At 43.4% G+C, this 21,309-nt stretch overlaps 1 protein-coding gene and 1 long non-coding RNA gene across 11 annotated transcripts in view, besides 2 other annotated features; both read left to right on the forward strand.

Moving 5' to 3' along the window:
• The window catches only part of PLEKHG1 (pleckstrin homology and RhoGEF domain containing G1), a 243,781-nt gene extending 237,992 nt beyond the window's left edge, over positions 1 to 5,789 (forward strand). For 7 of the 10 annotated variants that reach the window (NM_001029884.3, NM_001329799.2, NM_001329800.2 and 4 more), the window contains one exon: positions 1,957 to 5,789. In NM_001029884.3, the coding sequence (NP_001025055.1) occupies positions 1,957 to 3,020 (1,064 nt within the window). In that variant the 3' untranslated portion in view covers positions 3,021 to 5,789. The remainder of the gene's footprint in view (positions 1 to 1,956) is intronic. The other 3 variants (NM_001329804.2, NM_001329805.2, NM_001329806.2) reach the window with 1 other exon arrangement.
• Positions 10,968 to 12,167: an enhancer, noted in NCBI's record as "BRD4-independent group 4 enhancer chr6:151169980-151171179 (GRCh37/hg19 assembly coordinates)". NCBI's record gives its function as "activates an origin of replication core promoter dependent on BRD2, P300/CBP, MED14 and CDK7 cofactors, and independent of BRD4, by STARR-seq in HCT116 cells {active_cell/tissue: HCT116}" and the evidence as "EXISTENCE:reporter gene assay evidence [ECO:0000049][PMID:35650434]".
• On the forward strand, positions 11,435 to 20,086 carry LOC124901431 (uncharacterized). Its single transcript, XR_007059812.1, has 2 exons — positions 11,435 to 12,031; positions 15,702 to 20,086. It is a non-coding gene; the product is annotated as an uncharacterized LOC124901431 (long non-coding RNA).
• Positions 18,663 to 19,862: an enhancer, noted in NCBI's record as "MED14-independent group 3 enhancer chr6:151177675-151178874 (GRCh37/hg19 assembly coordinates)". NCBI's record gives its function as "activates an origin of replication core promoter dependent on BRD2, BRD4, P300/CBP and CDK7 cofactors, and independent of MED14, by STARR-seq in HCT116 cells {active_cell/tissue: HCT116}" and the evidence as "EXISTENCE:reporter gene assay evidence [ECO:0000049][PMID:35650434]".
• Positions 20,087 to 21,309: the final 1,223 nt, after the last annotated feature.

Consider the following 21,309-nt stretch of genomic DNA (forward strand, 5'->3'; position numbering starts at 1 on the left):
TTCTCAAGTTTTTGTAACTAGAAATTTCAACACTAATAATCTCTGTTCTTCCAAGGAATTTGGAGTTGAAAACTCAAAGGATCTGAGTATAGGTCTGTAATGAGAAGTTAGACTATTTACCTTGATCACAGGGAATAGGGGGTGAGGGATTGGGGTTGCAATTAAAGGTCACACAATAACAGGTTGTTTCTCTCTCCTCATAGAAGATAGACTCAAAAGAAATGACAAAACTCACCTAAATGAGTATTTATTAGTAGTTTAAGTTCAAGAAATAATTTACTGATAACACATCATTAAAAATGTAAATAGCTTAAAGAAGAAGAAGAAAACAGTGTTACCTGCTGGTTGTCATATATAGGATACATTTCCTTCATAAAGATTGTGTCAATATGGTCTGAGCAAGTTATAGGATGCGTTAGAGGAACCTTGTCCAACCTATGGCCCACAGCTGCATGCAGCCCATAACAGCTTTGAATGTGGCCCAACACAAATCTGTAAACTTTCTTAAAACATTAAGGGTTTTTTTTATTTTGAGATTTTTAAAAAGCTCATCAGCTATCACTACTGTTAGTGTATTTTATGTGTGTCCCAAGACAATTATTCTTCCTCCAATGTCTTCTGGGGAAGCCAAAAGATTGGACACCCCTGCATTAGAGTTTTTTGATTCTAGGGTGGTTGTGCAGATACCTGGATTGGGGAGGGTGGCAGATCTTGAAATTGTCATCTCTGGGCTCCCATCTTAAATTTTTGCTAGCCGAAGAGAATCCCCTACCCATAGCATGGTTAATGTATTAATATTTAGAAATATCTGTACTCAGAATCAGGGCAAAGGGGAGAATGGACTTGTGGCTTAATTTTAAGCGGCAAAAGCTTTTGTGGAAGTAACTGTTAGGTCCTATTCTTGAACCAGTAGTAGAGAGCATTAGATTATTGAGTACATGCACAGACGGTTCCTTCTTAATGTCTTGGCGGCCTAGGCTTTAGTGCTCTGCTTCTTGGGGATGTGAAATGAGATGTGAGTTAGTCAATACATGTGGTTTTGAAGCACTTGAGGGGAGAACTTTACTTAGTAGACATTGGTTCCCCAGACAATGGCAGTGGAGGGCTGCCTGGAAGCAAGAAGCGCAGCAACAGCCAGGAGCTGACTCCTCTAGGAGCAGCTGTCTGAGACAAAAAAAGAATGATGGGAAGCCAGGGGTAGCCATTGCATTGTGGATTGTGGCCATGCTGCTTTTTTTGTTTGTTTGTTTTTGTTTTAGATGGAGTCTCACTCTGTCACCCAGGCTAGAGTGCAGTGGCATGATCTTGGCTCACTGCAGCCTCCGCCTCCCAGGTTCAAGCAATTCTCCTGCCTCAGCCTCCCAAGTAGCTGGGACTACAGGTGCACGCCACCATGCCTGGCTAAATTTTTGTAATTTTAGTAGAGATGGGGTTTCACCATGTTGGCCAGGCTGGTCTTGAACTCCTGACCTCAAGTGATCCACCTGGTTTGGCCTCCGAAAGTGCTAGAATTACAGGCGTGAGCTATTACGCCCAGCCCTGCGATGCTGCTTTTAAAGACTGCTTGAATGATTTTTCATTGACCAGGCTGAAGTGCTGACTTTCTTACTTTTATGATGCATGTTTTCAGCACTGACACTGTTTTATGCTTATAAAGAACACTAGAAACTTTCATTATATATAGTGGACACTTGCAGACCTGCTGTTGAAACAAAATAATGGACAATTAGATGAAATTAAATGAACTTTTAGGTGGCATTTTTATTTATATTAAACCATGGATTTGTGTGTGTGTGTTGCTCAGAGTTCAAAGATTACTCATCCTTAGACATCAGTTAGTCTTGTCTACTGTCAAAATTTTAAAATACGTTGGTTAGAATGTTATTCTCTTATTTTTAATCTTCACGTATAGGAATTATCCTGTGTGTATTTACTGTTTCAATATTTGCCTTCCAGGTGCCAGGATTGCTGAGTATTCCCAGTTGTATGACCAGATTGTATTCAGAGAGTCTCCCTTGAAAATTCAGAAGGATGGCTGGGCCAGCCCTCAAGAATCCTCCCTCCTGAGGTCTGTGTCACCTTCCCAGGTCCACCATGGTAGTGGAGACTGGCTTCTGCATTCAACCTATAGTAATGGAGAGTTAGCAGATTTCTGTCTCCCACCAGAGCAAGACTTGAGGTCAAGATATCCCACGTTTGAGATCAATACAAAAAGTACTCCCAGGCAATTGTCCGCAGCTTGCTCTGTGCCTTCTCTTCAAACCTCTGACCCTCTGCCAGGCTCTGTGCAGAGATGCAGCGTGGTAGTAAGTCAGCCCAACAAAGAGAACTGGTGTCAGGACCATCTTTACAACTCCTTGGGTCGGAAAGGGATCAGCGCTAAATCTCAGCCTTATCACAGGTCCCAGTCATCTTCCTCCGTCTTGATCAACAAATCAATGGATTCCATCAACTACCCTAGTGATGTGGGAAAGCAGCAGCTGCTGTCTTTACACAGAAGTTCAAGGTGTGAGAGTCACCAGGACTTGCTGCCAGATATTGCTGACTCGCATCAACAGGGCACTGAAAAACTCTCAGATCTCACACTCCAAGACTCACAGAAAGTTGTGGTGGTCAATAGAAATTTACCCTTAAATGCCCAAATTGCAACACAGAATTATTTTTCCAATTTCAAAGAGACTGATGGAGATGAAGATGACTATGTGGAAATCAAGTCAGAAGAAGATGAGTCGGAGTTGGAGCTATCTCACAATCGTAGAAGGAAATCTGACTCAAAGTTTGTGGATGCTGACTTTTCTGATAATGTCTGCAGCGGCAACACATTGCATTCTTTGAATAGTCCGCGCACTCCAAAAAAGCCGGTTAACAGCAAACTTGGCCTTTCACCATATCTGACACCATATAATGATTCTGACAAACTGAATGACTATCTTTGGAGGGGGCCATCTCCCAATCAACAAAATATTGTCCAGTCTCTAAGGGAAAAATTTCAGTGTCTCAGTTCAAGCAGCTTTGCTTAAGGTTCTTCATAATAACTGCTTGAATCAACTTCTTATTTTGCTCATAAAACGTTACAGATACTGATGAGGTGTTTTATGTATACCAGATTAAAACAATTTTGTAAGAACCAGAGGTGTAAAATATACTTTCTTTTACAGCACAACTTTTGGAAATGGCTGACGATGCAGCCCGGATTGTACTGTAGCACATGTTGGCATCAACAGTATATTTTCTCATGCTGAGTGTCTTCATGTTTCATGTAAGTCAATCTTACTTGAAAGTTTTTAGACTTTTAACACGATGGCCATAACCTGACAATAGTGCCCACACCTTAAGAAATGCAATAATCCTTTCCTGTTATCCAGAAGGCCCAGGTAGTTTTATCCTGTGACTCAAAGGCAGCAAGGAGACTTTTTCACATTTTAAAAGGCAACGAAAGCTGTTGAAAGAATTATGCTTATATCTCACATTTTGGTTATATTTGTGGTAACACCTTAGGATAACGTAAGCCAGAGATCTGTAAATTGGACTGCAGTCTGAGGTGCCCATTTTAGGGTTTTTGTGCTAGTATTCTTTTATGTCATTTTGATGCAGAAATTGTGTGACTGTTGAAAATTAAAATGTAGCGGGACCCATTTTCTGTACGCAGAACCCTTTACCTGTATTCCTGGACAAGGCCTAGAGAACGAGCTGCTCATCATGTTTCTAATATAATTTCTGGGGTGAAATGAATGATTTCCTTACTGGCTTAGAGAAAACCAAGGTCAATAAAATGCAGATTGACTTAACTATTAGAAAAGATGGGATGACTTCTGGGAACCACTTAACTCTTCAAATGACTGTTGAAAGAGAAAAAGCAAAACTGAAATCCCACCAGACCATTTTGTGTGCCTGTTTCTAATCGATACAAAGTTAAGCATGAGCTAAAATCAGACAAAGCACTTTAAATTTATCCTTTCCAGAGCGCTTTGCACATGCACCCTCCTGAGTTTGGGATTCTGCCAAATGACCAACTTGATCCTGGCCCTGAGGAGTCATTGGCTGCAGGAATAGGGCAAGAATCTATTTCCTAAACTACACATAACATGGGAGCCTTTTTTTCGTTGTTTTCAGGTATATTAAAGAATGAAATCTTTGGTTACTAGGTGCTGACTAATAAATAACACCTTTTATATTCTGACCATTTGTCACATTTCATTGTGATACTGTATACTGATCTAACTCCTTATGAAAGGCAACAAACAAAAATAAGACATTGAATAAAAAGCAAAATCAAAGAAGCTAAAGAGAAAAATGAAGGCAGATATATTGCAACTTTATAACATATTCTATTTTATTGAAGACTGCAATTAATGCAGCAAGAATGCTTTCTCAAGCGGTGGCCTTTGTATTCTCATTTTAATCAGGTGTACATTCTATGGCCTCTCCCCCATGCTGTTAGTTTCTATTTTAAAAGATACAATAATATATGTAGGGAAAGGGGCCTGGGCTCTTCATTTAAAGGTAAGCAGTAATATTGAGTAAGTGACATAATTCTTTTTCTCTTTGTTAAGTCCTATGCCTCTTTTTCTTAACTGTAAAACATAGAATATGAGCGTTTTTATCTTACAAATAGGTACCTAAGGCATGTGATTTTATTTTTAAATAACAAAAAATAACCCAAGTTTCTTGCTTCTCCAAAGTATTCTTCTCATAGCTTATAAAAGAAAGTCCACATTGAATAGCATGGTCTGGGAACATTCCTTCTTTATTGTGTTTATTTGAACATGATATGAGTTTCCAAGATGAAATGATCAAAAAAGATAAGTACCACAAGAAAGTTTTTTTGTTTGGTTGGTTTTTTTGTTTGTTTGTTTTTTTCTTGAGACTGAGTCTCTCCCTGTTGCCCAAGTTGGAGTGCAATCTTGGCTCACTGCAGCCTCCACCTCCCCGGTTCCAGCGATTCTCCTGCCTCAGCCTCTTGAATAGCTGGGATTACAGGCGCCCGCCACCACACCTGGCTAATTTTTGTGTTGTTAGTAGAGGCGGGGTTTCATCATGTTGGCCAGGCTGGTCTCGAACTCCTGATCTCATGATCCGTCTGCCTCGGCCTCCCAGAGTGCTGGGATTACAGGCATGAGCCACTGCGCCCGGCCAAGAAAGTATGTTTTTAGAGGTGTGTGTAAGTGCATTTGTATTACCTATGAACAAAATTACCTGACTCTTGTCCCAGGAAAGCTGTTTCGCATTTTCGCTTTTTGATTGGTATTATCCAGTTCTATGTAGTTCATATTATTGTTCTGTCTGACTCTCAGAAATTACTTCTTCACGCCAGTGTCTTGTTGCATGACTTTGATGTCACCTATAGGAATACACCTCACTGCACGTAAGTGGGTATCTTACTGTATAAAAGGTCTACATGGCTTTAGGTTTTAGGACAAATGTGTAGATTTATAGACCATTTCTGTTGGCCAGGACACAGATTTTGAGAGCTGTGTGTATATATATATAATCATGTTTGTATTTTTTTCCTGAAAGTTATCAATTGCTTTTGTTTAAAACAGTTTGTTTTAGAGGTGGGGTGGGGATGTATATAACGAGGAAAAGTTATATGTACTTTAAAGTATGTCAAGTTCTTACTAGTTTCCTGTACTGAAGGTTCAATTTTTTTTATATAAGTTTACTTTTCACCTGCTCTATTCTTTGTGGGGAAAAAATGCATCTAGAAAAACATAGTTTAAATACTGTATATAAGATAATGAAAGTTAGTAACGTCCATTATTTAATAAAGTTTGTAAAGTACAAGGTAATTTATAGTGTGAATTAATGTGTTTATTTTAGAACATCAAGATGTTTCCAAACTACATTTAGCTATAATACTTTTTCTTGCCTTGTGAACCATGGAGAAAATGGTGCAGGGTCACAATGATATAACTATGTCTCAGCGGCCCATGATAGACCATTTTCTACATCTTTGGATTACCTTTGAAACAGTGAATTTGGTGTCTAGGATTTTTGTTGTCTTGAGCGAAAGCTAAATTAGATCAGTTGCTAAATTACCTTTTGAAAAAATTTGCAGTAAGTAACAGAAGACATTCTTTTAACTTTTATTATTGAATCAAAAAATTAATATAGCCGGGCATGGTGGTTCACACCTGTAATCCTAGCACTTTGGGAGGCCAAGGTGAGTGGATCACTTGAGGCCAGGAGTTTGAGACCAGCCTGGCCAACATGGTGAAACCCTGTCTCCACTAAAAATGGATGGTGGTGCATGCCTGTAATCCCAGCTACTCAGGTGGCTGAGGCACGAGAATCACTTGAACTAGGGAGGCAGAGGTTGCAGTGAGCTGAGATCACGTCATTGCGCTCTGGCCTGGGCAACACAGACTCTGTCTCAAAAAAAAAAGAAAATTACTATAGAAGTTTTTGGTACAAATTGAGGGTTTTTTCATGTAACTTCATGTTCTTAATTTTCTTTAATAGAAAGTTTACAGGGAACAAAAATATGCTGCTATTAGTTGATAATTACAGACACTTTCCAAAGCAACTCTTTCCAAATGTAAGCAAAAAGCCCTACCCCATTATAATGAAAATGTGGATTACCTGACTTTCCTCAGACTGAAGAAACAGCCTTCGGCTTTTAGTGTATTTTAGAGAGAAGAGTTTTCCAACTTCACACTGAGGAGCCCTCAGATCTGCCTTATCTTCCTGTTCCACCTTGAGGTGGAAAATGGATGGGTTCGCTCCAAGTTCAGTTTAGAGAAACAAATAACAGGAGAATAACCATGCCCCGTGTAAATGGTAAACATAAATTCAGTCCTTAAAGAAAAATTTTAATGAGCAGGCTTATAATGAGCTATAAATACAGCTGTTGAACATGAATACTTAATAAGATTTGTCTATTAAGGTTTTTTTTAGTAAAAACAATAAAAAATCTCTATTTGAAAGAGCAAATGTTAATACTTCAAGAACTCTGAGATCCTCTAATGCTGTATAACTTTCTCTATCTGGATTGTGATAACTACACTCAATTCTTTTTTTTTTTTTTTTTTTGAGACAGGGTCTCACTCTATCGGCCCAGACTGGAGTGCAGTGGCATGATCTCAGCTCACTGCAACCTCTGTCTCCTGGGGTTCAAGCGATTCTCCTACCTCAGCCTCCCAAGTAGCTGGGATTACAGGTGCATGCCACCATGCCCAGCTAATTTTTGTACTATTAGTAGAGACAGGGTTTCACCATGTTGGCCAGGCTGGTCTCGAACTCCTGACCCCAGGTGATCCTCCCGCCTCGGCCTCCCAAAGTGCTGGGATTAGAGGCATAAGCCACGTGCCTGGCCTTGTTGGTGTTTTTTTTAAAGAGACATGGACTCACCAAGGCTGGTCTTGAGTTCCTGGCCTCAAGTGATCCTCCTGCCTTGGCTTCCCAAACTGCAGGGATTACAGGCATGAGCTATCATACCTACCCTTTTTTTCAATGTTTTCTGTTTAACAAAATCATATATATATGCGCTTATATATATTTATATAGAGAGATACTGTGGAAATTTTGCTGTATTAAAAAGGTTAATGCAAAATATGATTGCACAACCTATATAACTGTAAATTAATAAAATTTGGAATGTCTGGTGTATAGCATATTTGAAAGCTCTTTAACAGAAGATCAAAAATTCCTTTTTGAAAGAATATTCTAGGCCAGGCATGGTGGCTCACGCCTGTAATCCCAACACTTTGGGAGGCGAGGCGGGTGGATAACCTGAGGTCAGGAGTTCGAGACCAGCCTGGCCAACATGGTGAAACCCTGTTTCTACTAACAATACAAAAATTAGCTGGGCATGGTGGTGGGCGCCTGTAATCCCAGCTACTTGGGAGGCTGAGGCAGGAGAATCGCTTGAACCCAGGAGGGGGAGGTTGCAGTGAGCCGAAATCTTGCCATTGCACTCCAGCCTGGGTGACAAGAGCAAGACTCCATCTTAAAAAAAAAGAAAAATATATTCTAAAATTTAGCATGTGCAACCATTGTCTGACCAGTTGAGGTAGAAATGGCTTTACCAGCCCCTCACAGTGCTGGGCAACTTGTAGTGTTCCATACATTTTAATCATTGAATAGAGTTAAAAATTCGTCTGAGCTCAAAGCATGTGAAAAATATTCAAACCAGATACACAAAGGAGGGAAGTCACAACAACAGCAAATAAGTTGCTTTAAAAAGATTCACAGCACACTCAGAAATCTGGTGGTATCAACTTTCTCTAGAGCTCTTATTAGGTAAGTCATGGGAGGTGGCATTTTGGAAAGACTCTCTGCGCCTTTCCCATCTCATGGCTGATAGAATTCCAGAGACATTTACTCTGCAGACTTCCAGTAACCTTTTAGGCTAAGCATCTACATGGGCACAGGAAGGTGTGATTATCAGACCCTCCTCAAAATTCCATGTAGACCACTGCCTGTCCTGATAACTGCTTTTGATCATATTGGATTTCTGAGGGCGCTGTGAATTTTTTTAAAGCAACTTACTTGCTGCTGTTGTTACTTCCCGCCTTTTGATGTGATGAGATCATAGAGCACCCTAGCATGTAGATGTGGGGTTGAAGTCAAATAAGGTGGAAGGAAAAGGCCCAGAATGCCTCGATTTGGGGTGCCAAAAAACACACTTGCCCACTTTACAATTTTGGTACACATCTGTGGATCAAAGTCCACCTTATGTATCTGTGAAAAACAAGAGTCTTATTTTCCTGACAATGGCTTATTCACATGCATCGTACAATAGGAAAGAAAGACAAGCAGGCAGTTCCACCTCATTGGTTCCAAAACCATGTTTATCAAGCTCAATATAAAACAACAGGGCTTGGATGGTGATCAAATCATCTGTTCTAACGGGCAAATATAAGCCCCCAATTTGCCCTCCTGTTTACATAGCAATGTATGCCTCTCCACATAGTTCTCATGGAACCATCAAGACCACAGGGTAAGCAGATTCCTGCTACTAAACCACAGTTAAGTCAGAGGCTGCAAACTGCTGGCCCAGGGGCTCAATCTGGCTTGTGCAATTTTATTTATTTATTTATCTATTTGGAGACAGTCTCGCACTGTTGCCCAGGCTAGAGTGCAGTGGCGTGATATCAGCTCACTGCAACCTCCACGTTCCGGGCTTGAGCAATTCTCTTGCCTCAGCCTCCCAAGTAGCTGGGACTACAGGCACGTGCCATCACACCTGGCTAATTTTTGTATTTTTAGTAGAGACAGGGTTTCACCATGTTGCCCAGGCTGGTCTCAAACTCCTGGGCTCAAGTGATCCACCCACCTCAGCCTCCCAAAGTGCTGGGATTACAGGCGTGAGCCACCACACCCGGCCCTCGGCTTTTACAATTTTAGAAAGGCTTAAGCATAAAATCCAAATTTCCACCTCTTAAAAAAAAAAAAAAAAAAAAAAAAAAAAGATGTGGTCTGTGTGGACCTGGATTCTGGTGAGGCCAATGCTATGAGATCTAAGGAGGGGATCTAAAGGTGAAAGTCACCCTAAAAGGTGGACACTTGCTTTGACCTTTGGGGGAAATGGTTCCTTTATCCTTCATTATGGACTTCGTCAACAAATTTAAAGCAACCGTGGTACACTTGAAATACAGATGCTTTAGGTAGAAAATAAGAAATCTCTCCTTTTAAGATAAAATAAACATACGTCACAAAGATCTCTAGAACGTATAGCTGCTTTGGGGGAAGTTTTATACCTGGTCCACTTCCCTAGTTAATACTGTATTATCTACCCATCCTCTAGAAGCCTCCAGAGGCTTCAGGTCTGTGATACCAAATCATCTCCACTCCATTCTCCTTTAATATGAATTCACCTGAATTCACTACTATATATACTCTGTTTCCCAAAACACCATCTCTAGGGTCAAACTCCCCTCTTCAGTGCAAGATTTTTCCTGCAGGACATCTCTGAGTTGTCCAGAGCCAATGTCATTTTTCCCCATGTACGACTCCTTTCTTCCTCAGAAGCTCCTCCTCTAGTTTGCAGTCTTTTTGTTGGACTACTATAACAGCGTCCTAACTAGTTGTCCTGCCACTGTCTTCCCCACTTCCTGTCTTTTATTCTGTGTTTTAAACACAGAATAAAATCCTCCAGGGCCGAGTGCGGTGGTTCACACCTGTAATTCCAGCACTTTAGGGGACAGAGGCAGGCAGATCACTTAAGGTCAGGAGTTCGAGACCAGCCTGGCCAAAGTGGTGAAAACCCATCTCTACTAAAAATACAAAAATTAGCCAGGTTTAGTGGGCAAGCCGGTAATCCCAGCTACTCGGGACGCTGAGGCAGAAGAATCTCTTGAACCCAGGAGGCGGAGGTTGCAGTGAGCCAAGATCATGCCAGTGCACTCCAGCTTGGGCAACAAAGCGAGACTCCATCTCAAAGAAAAAAAAAATCCTCCACAAAGCCCCCCATAATCTGTCTCTGCCTTTATATGAGGAAGAGCTGCTCCCTCTGCCTGCAATACCCTTCCCCTACTATCCAAAGGGAAACCCGCTAAGTCCTCAAAACCCAGCTCAGAAACGATTGCCAAGAACTGTGAGATTTTACCCAGCTTGCAAGCTAACAAGGTAACCTGCCTCAGTTTCATCAATACTGGCAGAAGACACAAGACTCCTGGGTAAGAGAGGAAGGACATGATTACAGCACAGCCGGTAGCATGAGCTTTACATTTCCATTGCTTCCCCTCACCCCGCTAGTCTCAGAGCAGCCCAGGGGGTTGTTGTACACACAGTGGTTCATTCCACAGCAGAGGAGCCCTGGGCTCAGAAATCCCCAAACTTAAAAGAAGCTACTAGCAAATCTGCCCAACCTTTGCCCCTGGAGGGAGACATTATCTTTATTCTGTGGAGGCAAACAAATCTGCCTTCTGCCCTAAGGGGAGATACTATTTCTATCTTCCAAGGCTGTATGCTCTAAAAATGTCCTTGAATTGATAGTCTGGGGTAAGAGAATAATACAAGACATGAAGAAATACAAAATCATGAGACCCCTAAAGAATGGTCTCAAAACCATGCTAATTTTGTGACATACAAGTTTTTTTTAATTTTTATCCAGTATGATTAAGGATGGAGAAAGACTGTTAATCCCAAATGAATCAGAATACACATTGGTATAGAATATTATAAATGAATTTAGCAATATGAATCAGTAACATTAAAAATTCATCCTCTTTGAGCCATTAATTAGACTTCCGGAAATTTATTCTAAGAGAATAAATTCAACGGCAGTTAAAGATTTATGTATCAAATTGAGAGGTGAATCTGGCTAGTCTTCTGGGTCGGGTGGGGACTTGGAGAACTTTTCTGTCTAGCTAAAGGATTGTAAATGCACTAATCAGTGCTCTGTGTCTAGCTAAAGGTTTGTAAACGCACCAATCAGCACTCTGTAAAATGGACCAATCAGCAGGATGTGGTGGGGCCAAATAAGGGAATAAAATCAGGCCACCTGAGCCAGCAGCGGCAACCCGCTTGGGTCCCCTTCCATGCTGTGGAAGCTTTGTTCTTTCACTCTTCACAATAAATCTTGCTGCTGCTCACTCTTTGGGTCCGCACTGCCTTTATGAGCTGTAACACTCACCACGAAGGTCTGCAGCTTCACTCCTGAAGCCAGCGAGACCACAAACCCACCGGGAGGAACGAACAACTCCGGATGCGCCGCCTTTATGAACTGTAACACTCACTGCGAAGGTCTGCAGCTTCACTCCTGAAGCCAGCGAGACCACGAACCCACCGGGAGGAACGAACAACTCCGGATGCGCCGCCTTTATGAACTGTAACACTCACTGCGAAGGTCTGCAGCTTCACTCCTGAAGTCAGCAAGACCACGAACCCACCGGGAGGAAGAAACTCTGGACACATCTGAACATCTGAAGGAACAAACTCTGGACACACCATCTTTAAGAACTTTAACACTCACCGCAAGGGTCCACGGCTTCATTCTTGAAGTCAGCGAGACCAAGAACCCACCGGAAGGAATCAATTCTGGACACATTTTGGTGACCACGAAGGGACCATTGACTATTGCCAAGCAGTGAGTACCATCGGACCCCTTTTGCTTGCTATTCTGTCCTATTTTTCCTTAGCATTTGAGGGCTAAATATCAGGCACCTGTCGGCCAGTTAAAAGCAACTAGCATGGCCACCAGACTAAAGACATGGATGTCAGGATTTCTGGGAAAGGGCTCTCTAACAAGCCCCCACTCTTTGGAGTTGGGAGCATTGGTTTGCCACTTTTCCTGTACTTCCGGGCTGAGCTGAGGGTTGACAGAGAGGAAAGCCATTCAGCTCCGAGGTCCTGAGAACAAGTTGGTTGACCCTGCAGCCATGAGCGGAACTCTCAAAGTCATGTTGCCCAAGCCAGACTCTCTCATCTATTCTATCTACCTTGACCCTTGCCTCCTGGGTCCTAATGCCTGCCAGACAAACTCCCTCTCACCTCTCTTCTCCGAGGCTAGTCCCGCTTCTAAAAACCACTCCCTGTCTCTGGTGCTTTTCTAGTTTCTCCTATAAGAATGATTTCTAGTTCAAACTCCAGGACTCTGTTACCTTCTTTCGGCACCTGGGCTCACCAATCAGAAAAACATAATTTTTCCCAAAGCCCCATCGTAGGGGATACTATCTGGAATTTTAGGATACCTCCTCAGACAAGTGGGCCTAACAAAAGCTATTCCTGAAGCTAGGATATGGGGAGCCTCAGAAATTGTATCCTTCCTATTCATATAAGTGAGGACAAAAGGCATCACTCTTCCAACTCTAGAGATCACTTCCCTCCCTCAGAGCAAAAAATGCCTGCGCAGTCCAAATCAGGCTAAAAGACCCCATCACTTTTCCTTATCAAAGGCAATATCCCTTAAGGCCTGAAGCTCATAAAGGATTACAGGATATTGTTAAACATTTAAAAGCTCAAGGCTTAGGAAATGCAGCAGTCCCTGCAACACCCCAATTCTAGGAGTACAAAAACCAAACGGTCAGTGGAGACTAGTGCAAGATCTTAGACTCATCAATGAGGCAGTAATTCATCTATATCCAGTTGTACCCAAACCCTATACCCTGCTCTCTCAAATACCAGAGGAAGCAGAATGGTTCACTGTTCTGGACCTCAAGGATGCCTTCTGTATTCCCCTGCACTCTGACTCCCAGTTTCTCTTTGCCTTTGAGGATCCCACAGACCACATGTCCCAACTTACGTGGACGGTCTTGCCCCAAGGTTTTAGGGATAGCCCTCATCTGTTTGGTCAGGCACTGGCCCAAGATCTAGGCCATGTCTCAAGTCCAGGCACTCTGTTCCTTCAGTATCTGGATGATTTACTTTTGGCTACCAGTTCAGAAGCCTCGTGCCAGCAGGCCACTGTAGATCTCTTGAACTTTCTAGCTAATCAAGGGTACAAGGTGTCTAGGTCAAAGGCCCAGCTTTGCCTACAACAGGTCAAATATCTAGGCCTAATCTTAGCCAGAGGGACCAGGGACCTCAGCAAGGAACGAATACAGCCCATACTGGCTCATCCTCACCCTAAGACATTAAAACAGTTGTGGGGGTTCCTTAGAATTACTGGCTTTTGCCAACTATGGATCCCCGGATACAGTGAGATAGTCAGGCCCCTATATACTCTAATCAAGGAGACCCAGAGGGCAAATACTCATCTAGTAGAATGGGAACCAGGGGGAGAAACAGCCTTCAAAACCTTAAAAGGCCCTAGTACAAGCTCCAGCTTTAAGCCTTCCCACAGGACAAAACTTCTCTTTATATGTCACAGAGAGAGCAGGGATAGCTCTTGGAGTCCTTATTCAGACTCGTGGGACAACCCCACAACCAGTGGCATACCTACGTAAGGAAACTGATGTAGTAGCAAAAGGCTGGCCTCACTGTTTAAGGGTAGTTGCAGCGGTGGCTGTCTTAGTGTCAGAGGCTATCAAAATAATACAAGGAAAGGATCTCACTGTCTGGACTACTCATGATGTAAATGGCATACTAGGTGCCAAAGGAAGTTTATGGTTATCAGACAACCGCCTACTTAGATACCAGGCACTACTCTTTGAGGGACCGGTGCTTCAAATACGTACGTGCATGGCCCTGAACCCTGCCACTTTTCTCCCAGAGGATGGGGAACCAATCATGCATGACTGCCGACAAATTATAGTCCAACTTATGCTGCCCAAGATGGTCTCTTAGAGGTCCCCTTAGCTAATCCTGACCTTAACCTATATACCCATGGAAGTTCATTTGTGGAGAACGGGATACGAAGGGCAGGTTATGCCATAGTTAGTGATGTAGCTGTACTTGAAAGTAAGCCTCTTCCCTCAGGGACCAGCGCCCATTTAGCAGAACTAGTGGCACTTACCCGAGCCTTAGAACTGGGAAAGGGAAAAAGAATAAATGTGTATACAGATAGCAAGTATGCTTATCTAATCCTACATGCCCATGCTGCAATATGGGAAGAAAGGGAGCTTCTAACCTCTGGGGGACCCGCATTAAATACCACATGGAAATTATGGAGTTATTGCACACAGTGCAAAAACCCAAGGAGGTGGCAGTCTTACACTGCCAAAGCCATCAGAAAGGTGAAGGAGAAAAGGCAGAAGGAAACCACTGGGCAGATACTGAGGCCAAAATTGCTGCCAGGTGGAATCTCCCATTAGAAATACCTATGGAAGGACCCTTGGTATGGAACAACCCCCTCCAGGAGATTAAGCCCCAGTATTCCCCGATTGAAACAGAATGGGGACTTTCACGGGGACATAGTTTTCTCCCCTCAGGGTGGTTAACGACAGAAGAAGGAAAGGTACTTATTCCCAAAGCAAGCCAGTGGAAAATACTTAAAACTCTCCACCAAACTGTTCATATGGGTATTGAAAACACTCATCAAATGGCCAAATCCCTATTTACAGGGCCAAATCTCCTCCAGACCATGTGACAGGTAGTCAAAGCCTGTGAGGTATGCCAAAGGAATAATCTCTTGGTCCATCATAAGGCCCCTGTGGGGGCACAAAGAATAGGTCACTATCCCGGAGAGGACTGACAGTTAGACTTCACCCATATGCCTAAGTCAAAGGGATTTCAATACTTGTTGGTCTGTGTTGATATCTTTACAAATTGGATAGAAGCTTTCCCCCGCAAGACAGAGAAGGCTCAGGAAGTGATTAAAGTTCTAATTCATGAAATAATTCCTAGATTTGGGCTTCCCCAAAGCTTACAGAGTGACAATGGTCTGACTTTTAAAGACATGATAACTCAGGGAGTTTCCAGGGCACTAGTGATACAACAGCATCTTCACTGCACCTGGAGGCCACAATCCTCAGGGAAGGTCAAGAAGGCAAATGAAACACTCAAGAGGCACTTAAGGAAACTAATACAAGAAACTCATCTCCCATGGCCTACTCTTTTGCCCATGGCCTTGTTGAGAATCCAAAATTCTCCTCACAAAATGGGGCTTAATCCACATGAAATGCTGTAGGGACGACCTTTTCTCACAAATGACCTCCTACTTGATCAGGAAATGGCCAACTTGGTCAAAGATACAACTTATTTGGCAAAATATCAACAAAACCTTAAAAACCTACCTGAAGGATGTCACAGAGAAAAGGGAACAGAGTTGTTTCAACTAGGAGATCTAGTGTTGGTCAAATCTCACCCCTCTACCTCCCCATCTATGAACTCTTTGTGGGAAGGACCATACTCGGTAATCCTCTCTAACCCCACTGCAGTTAAGGTGGCAGGAGTGGAATCTTGGATTCACCACACCCGAGTTACATTTTGGACATCCCCTGAGGAACCTGCAGGACTGTCAGCTCAGGAGTCTCAAGCCAGACCAGCCTCGATACACCTGCGAACCATTGGAGGACTTGCATCTCCTATTTCGGAAGGAAACATCCCAGACTAAAAAGGCTCCTACCGCTGATCCTGAAGAAAAATCCCTTTCTCCTTAAAAAAGATAAGTGAAAACCTACATAATCTTTAACACCTCTCCTTGCCCCTTTAATGGAATCCTTTTACTATTTCATCATATTATTAAGCAGCATACTAACCATACTCTTTGCGATAGGACTGTATACTGTAGCTCCTGCTGGGAGAAAAATCCTAATCACATCAACCTTCTATCTTCCTTCCTTCTGACAGCAATTTACTCCTGCCTTTAACTCAGACTGGATAAAATGGTCTCGTCTTCCAGAGCACCCTCTTTACCTTCCTATTTACTCTTTGCCTATCTATCCCTCCTGCTTCCTTGGATACCTCATACAATTGCCCCTCCCCTTCCACTAGCTCCTAATTACCTCTACAAGTCTCTCAACTTAACCTACTCTCTGTTAAACCAGTCCAATCCTTCCCTGGCAAATGACTGTTGGCTTTGTATCTCTCTATCAACCTCTGCTTACACTGCCACTCCCATTCCTGCAAAAAACTGGGTCTTTACCAAATTAACCTACCACCCTCGTTATGAAGGAAAAGACCCTTTCTGACTTTTAAATATGCAATCATTAGCCAACTTCCCCATCTCTGATAGGAACAAGAATACCCTAACAGGATGTGCAATCCAACTTTTACGTTCTTACATTTCCAACCTCACCTATTACACAAGCAATGAAAAGCCCATACACGGCCCTGTAACTACAAATACTATCTTAACTTTCCAAGCCCCTTTATGCATCCAACGCAACCTGTTATCAGGCCTGCCCCTGGGGCACTTACTACCCCATCAGTGTAATTACACGCTACAACTTCAAGCCCCAACTGATCATAGTAACTTCTGAGTCACCCAAACAGCTCCATTTAGATGGCTTGTCTGCTTCTTGGGGCCCCCAAAAATCATCACCTCCTCCCTGCTTAACAAATAGTCCAGGGTTTGTAATGGCAAACATACTCCCTGCATGACCATTCACCCCTGCACCCCCTGCAGCAGCGCCCCCACCACTAGTGAATGCCTTCTCATCCCCTCTTTCAATCACTCTCTCGAGTGGTTCCTAGTAGATATAAAATGTTTTTTTCTCCAATGGGAAAATAGAACACAGGGAGCCACTCAGTTTGCTCCCAACACCCCTTTCCAGCCGCTCACTGGAGCTACCTTGGCAAGTACTCTAGGAGTATGGGAAAATGAAAACAACAAATTCACACATCTTTTTAACATACACAACCAGTTCTGTCTACCCAGCTAAGGTATACTCTTCTTATGTGGAATGTCGACCTATATCTGCCTCCCCACTAACTGGACAGGCACCTGCACCTTAGTCTTTCTAAGTCCCAACATTAATATTGCCCCGGGAAGTCAGACCTTATCAGTACCCCTCAAAGCTCAAGTCCGTCAGCGCAAAGCCATACAACTAATACCCCTACTTATAGGGTCAGGAATGGCTACTGCTACAGGAACTGGAATAGCCAGTTTATCTACTTCATTATCCTACTACCACACATTCTCAAAGGATTTCTCAGACAGTTTGCAAGAAATCACGAAATCTATCCTTACTCTACAATCCCAAATAGACTCTTTGGCAGCAGTGACTCTCCAAAAGCGCTGAGGCCTAGACCTCCTCACGGCTGAGAAAGGAGGAGTCTGCACCTTCTTAGGGGAAGAGTGTTGTTTTTACCCTAACCAGTCAGGGATAGTACTAAATGCCGCCCGGCATTTACAGGAAAAGGCTTCTGAAATCAGACAACGCCTTTCAAACTCTTATACCAACCTCCGGAGTTGGGCAACATGGCTTCTCCCCTTTCTAGGTCCCGTGGCAGCCATCTTGCTGTTACTCGCCTTTGGGCCCTGTATTTTTAACCTTCTTGTCAAATTTGTTTCCTCTAAAATCAAGGCAATCAAGCTACAGATGGTCTTACAAATGGAACTCCGAATGAGTTCAACTAACAACTTCTACTGAGGACCCCTGGACCGACCCGCTGGCCCTTCCACTGGCCTAAAGAGTTTCCCTCTGGAGGACACCACAACTGCAGGGCCCCTGCTTCACCCCTATCCAGCAGGAAGTAGCTAGAGCAGTCATTGGCCAAATTCCAAACAGCAGTTGGGGTGTCCTGTTTAGAGGGGAAATTGAGAGGTGAAGCCAGCTGGGCTTCTGGGTTGGGTGGGGACTTGGAGAACTTTTCTGTCTAGCTAAAGGATTGTAAATGCACCAGTCAGTGCTCTGTGTCTAGCTAAAGGTTTGTAAATGCACCAATCAGCACTCTATAAAAATGGACCAATCAGCACTCTGTAAAATGGACCAATCAGCTCTCTGCAAAATGGATCACTCAGTAGGATGCAGGTGGGGCCAAATAAGGGAATAAAAGCAGGCCACCTGCACCACCAGCAGCAACCCACTTGGGTCCCCTCCACACAGTGGAAGCTTTGTTCTTTTGCTCTTCACAATAAATCTTGCTGCTGCTCACTCTTTGGGTCCGCACTGCCTTTATCAGCTGTAACACTCACCACGAAGGTCTGCAGCTTCACTCGTGAAGCCAATGAGACCACAAACTCACCGGGAGGAATGAACAACTCTGGATGCGCTGCCTTTATGAGGTGTAACACTCACCACGAAGATCTGCAGCTTCACTCCTGAAGCCAGCGAGACCATGAACCCACCGGGAGGAATGAACAACTCCGGACGCGCCGCCTTTATGAACTGTAACACTCACTGCGAAGGTCTGTGGCTTCACTCCTGAAATCAGCGAGACCACGAACCCACCAGAAGGAAGAAATTCTGGACACATCTGAACATCTGAAGGAACAAACTCCGGACACACCATCTTTAAGAACTTTAACACTCACCGCGAGGGTCCACAGCTTCATTCTTGAAGTCAGTGAGACCAAGAACCCACTGGAAGGAACCAATTCCGGATACAAAATGTCTCCATGCATGCCTCACCTGCAGTGCCATACGCTGGTTGATATTAATAATAAGACAGATTTTGCAGAGCATTGTTGGTGCGTATGCTACCCATACTCCTATCGACCAGGCTTGCACCTTCCAGGGCCATGCTTTCCAGCCTAAACAATCACAGATCAGGCCCAGACTGCACTCCCTGGGAGCTTTGGAAAAAGCTGCATCAAACCAGAGCTTCTCCCCAAGCCCAGCAAACCACTCATGGCTCAGGTAGTCCTTCCTGGAAGACCAAAGTGTTGGAAGTAAATGCTTATTCCCCGATGTTACAGAGAAGAATCCGCAATTAGACAAAATGTTTCCTCAACAGGAAACTCTTTTTACTCTTTGCAGAAAGGGTGGTGCCTGTCAGCAATCCTGCCAGGAGTACCCACAAAGTAAAAAAGATACTAGAATAGTTTTGCCTTACACATGAGGTCCCTATTGCTGTGTCCTGACTCCATTGGCTGGAGCCAGACCTCACAATCTAAACTAAAACCCGATTGGCTAACAGTTCAAAACTTTTTAAAATAGGTAAAGGCAGTGAGGAACAAAGGAAAAAAAGGAAGTTGCTTATGAAAGGACTTAGAAAAGTAATAATATTCCCAAATAAGGGAGGAGGGTAGGCTGCAAGCTGGGACATGCCTGGGCATGTCCAGCACGAATATTCTGACTAAGGTACAAGGACATAGAATGTACTACATGCCTGTGAGCATGTTTAACAGATACTGAAGTCAGAGTATGCTTATTCTGTTACCTTTGCTACATAAGGCTTAACAGAGAGTTATTACTATAAAATAAGAAACTTAAAGTTAGTTTTGAGAAAAGATATCAATAACATTTATGATTTAAAGGGATTTGAAGAGGAACTTTTGCTTTCTACACAAAGCCTCCTCATTCATTGAAGAGGAAAACTCTTGGTGGGGACAAGAGTGAATTTACTTTAAATACCAATCCACTGACTAATCCCAAGTCTGGGAATGCCTCCAAAATGTTGAGTTGATGTATTATTATTTATGTAGAAACACCCATTTACTGTAAGTTTCCTTCAAAACAACCCTCGTTGCTGTTGCAGAAATCATAGGCTGTGACGCTGGTAGCCACCTACACATTCCTTCTAGAACACGTATATTTTTCCCCAAGATATAAGCCCTGGGTCTAGGGGGTTGTGGTGCAGAGATCTACCTATCTTGTAGCCGCCCAAGACCACGTTTCTGTTTGTAAATTTCCCTAATAAATCACCCAGAACCACACATTGGATTTCTCTGCCTCCTTTGGTTTCCAGGCTCCTTCTGCATTTGGGGGTTGCTGTGTAAATACAGCCCTTTCATGGAACAAACTCCCATAGAAGTGCAAACTGTGTTGACCCTTGTTTTATCCAAGTGTCCTGTCTACATTTGTAGCCTTCCAGTATTTGCTGGGTCTGTCTCTTTGGCATTTTGGGAGCCACATAAACCACCAGGCTTCAAGCTGTTACCCCGGGTTGCTGCTCCTCTGACCATCCTTCCTGGTTAGTCTCCCTCCTGACCCACCTTCTCACTGCTGCTGTTCTTCCCACATCTTCTGTCTGCGTGCTCTGGGTCACTTTAAGTTCCATGTTGAACTCCTCTACATTCCCTATATTTTAATGGAAGCAGTTCCCTCCATTCTTTTTTTTTTTTTTTTTGAGATGGAGTTTCGCTGTCGCCAGGCTGGAATTCAGTGGTGTGATCTTGGCTGACTGCAACCTCCAACTCCCTGGTTCAAGCAATTCTCCTGCCTCAGCCTCCCGAGTAGCTGGGATTACAGGCTCGTGCCACCACGCCCAGCTAATTTTTGTATTTTTAGTAGAGACGAGGTTTCACCACGTTGGCCAGGATGATCTCAGTCTGACCTTGTGATCCGCCCACCTCGGCCTCCCAAAGTACTGGGGTTACAGGCGTGAGCCACCGCGCCCGGCCAATTCATTTCTTTTTTAAACTAACACTTAGCTCTTCCTTAAGGATGTTTCTCCTGGGGATCTCTTAAAGGAAGGCTATTCATTCTCCCACAATCCAACACCTCAAGTTCGAGAGGTGGAGTCAGTGCTTCATGGATCCATGCTGTGGCTGGAGACCATTCCTTCTCTGCCCTCATGAATGAATGAACTATTGCATGGTGGCTATTTGGAATGCAATTTTTTTTTTTTTTTTTTAGATGGAGTTTCGCTCTTGTTGTCCAGGCTGGAGTGCAATGGCGCAATCTCGACTCACTGCAACCTCTGTCTCCCAGGTTCAAGTGAATCTCCTGCCTCAGTCTCCCCAGTAGCTGGGATTACAGGCAGATGCCACGATGCCCAGCTAATTTTTGAATTGTTAGTAGAGACGGTGTTCCACCATGTTGGTCAGGCTGGTTTCTAACTTCTGACCTCAGGTGATTCGCCCTCCTCAGCCTCCCAAAGTGCTGGGATTACAGGCATGAGCCACTGTGCCCAGCCTGGAATGCAAATCTTTGTGTC

The sequence above is a fragment of the Homo sapiens genome, chromosome 6, assembly GCF_000001405.40.
Source record: "Homo sapiens chromosome 6, GRCh38.p14 Primary Assembly".
NCBI classification, from domain to species: Eukaryota; Metazoa; Chordata; class Mammalia; order Primates; family Hominidae; genus Homo; species Homo sapiens.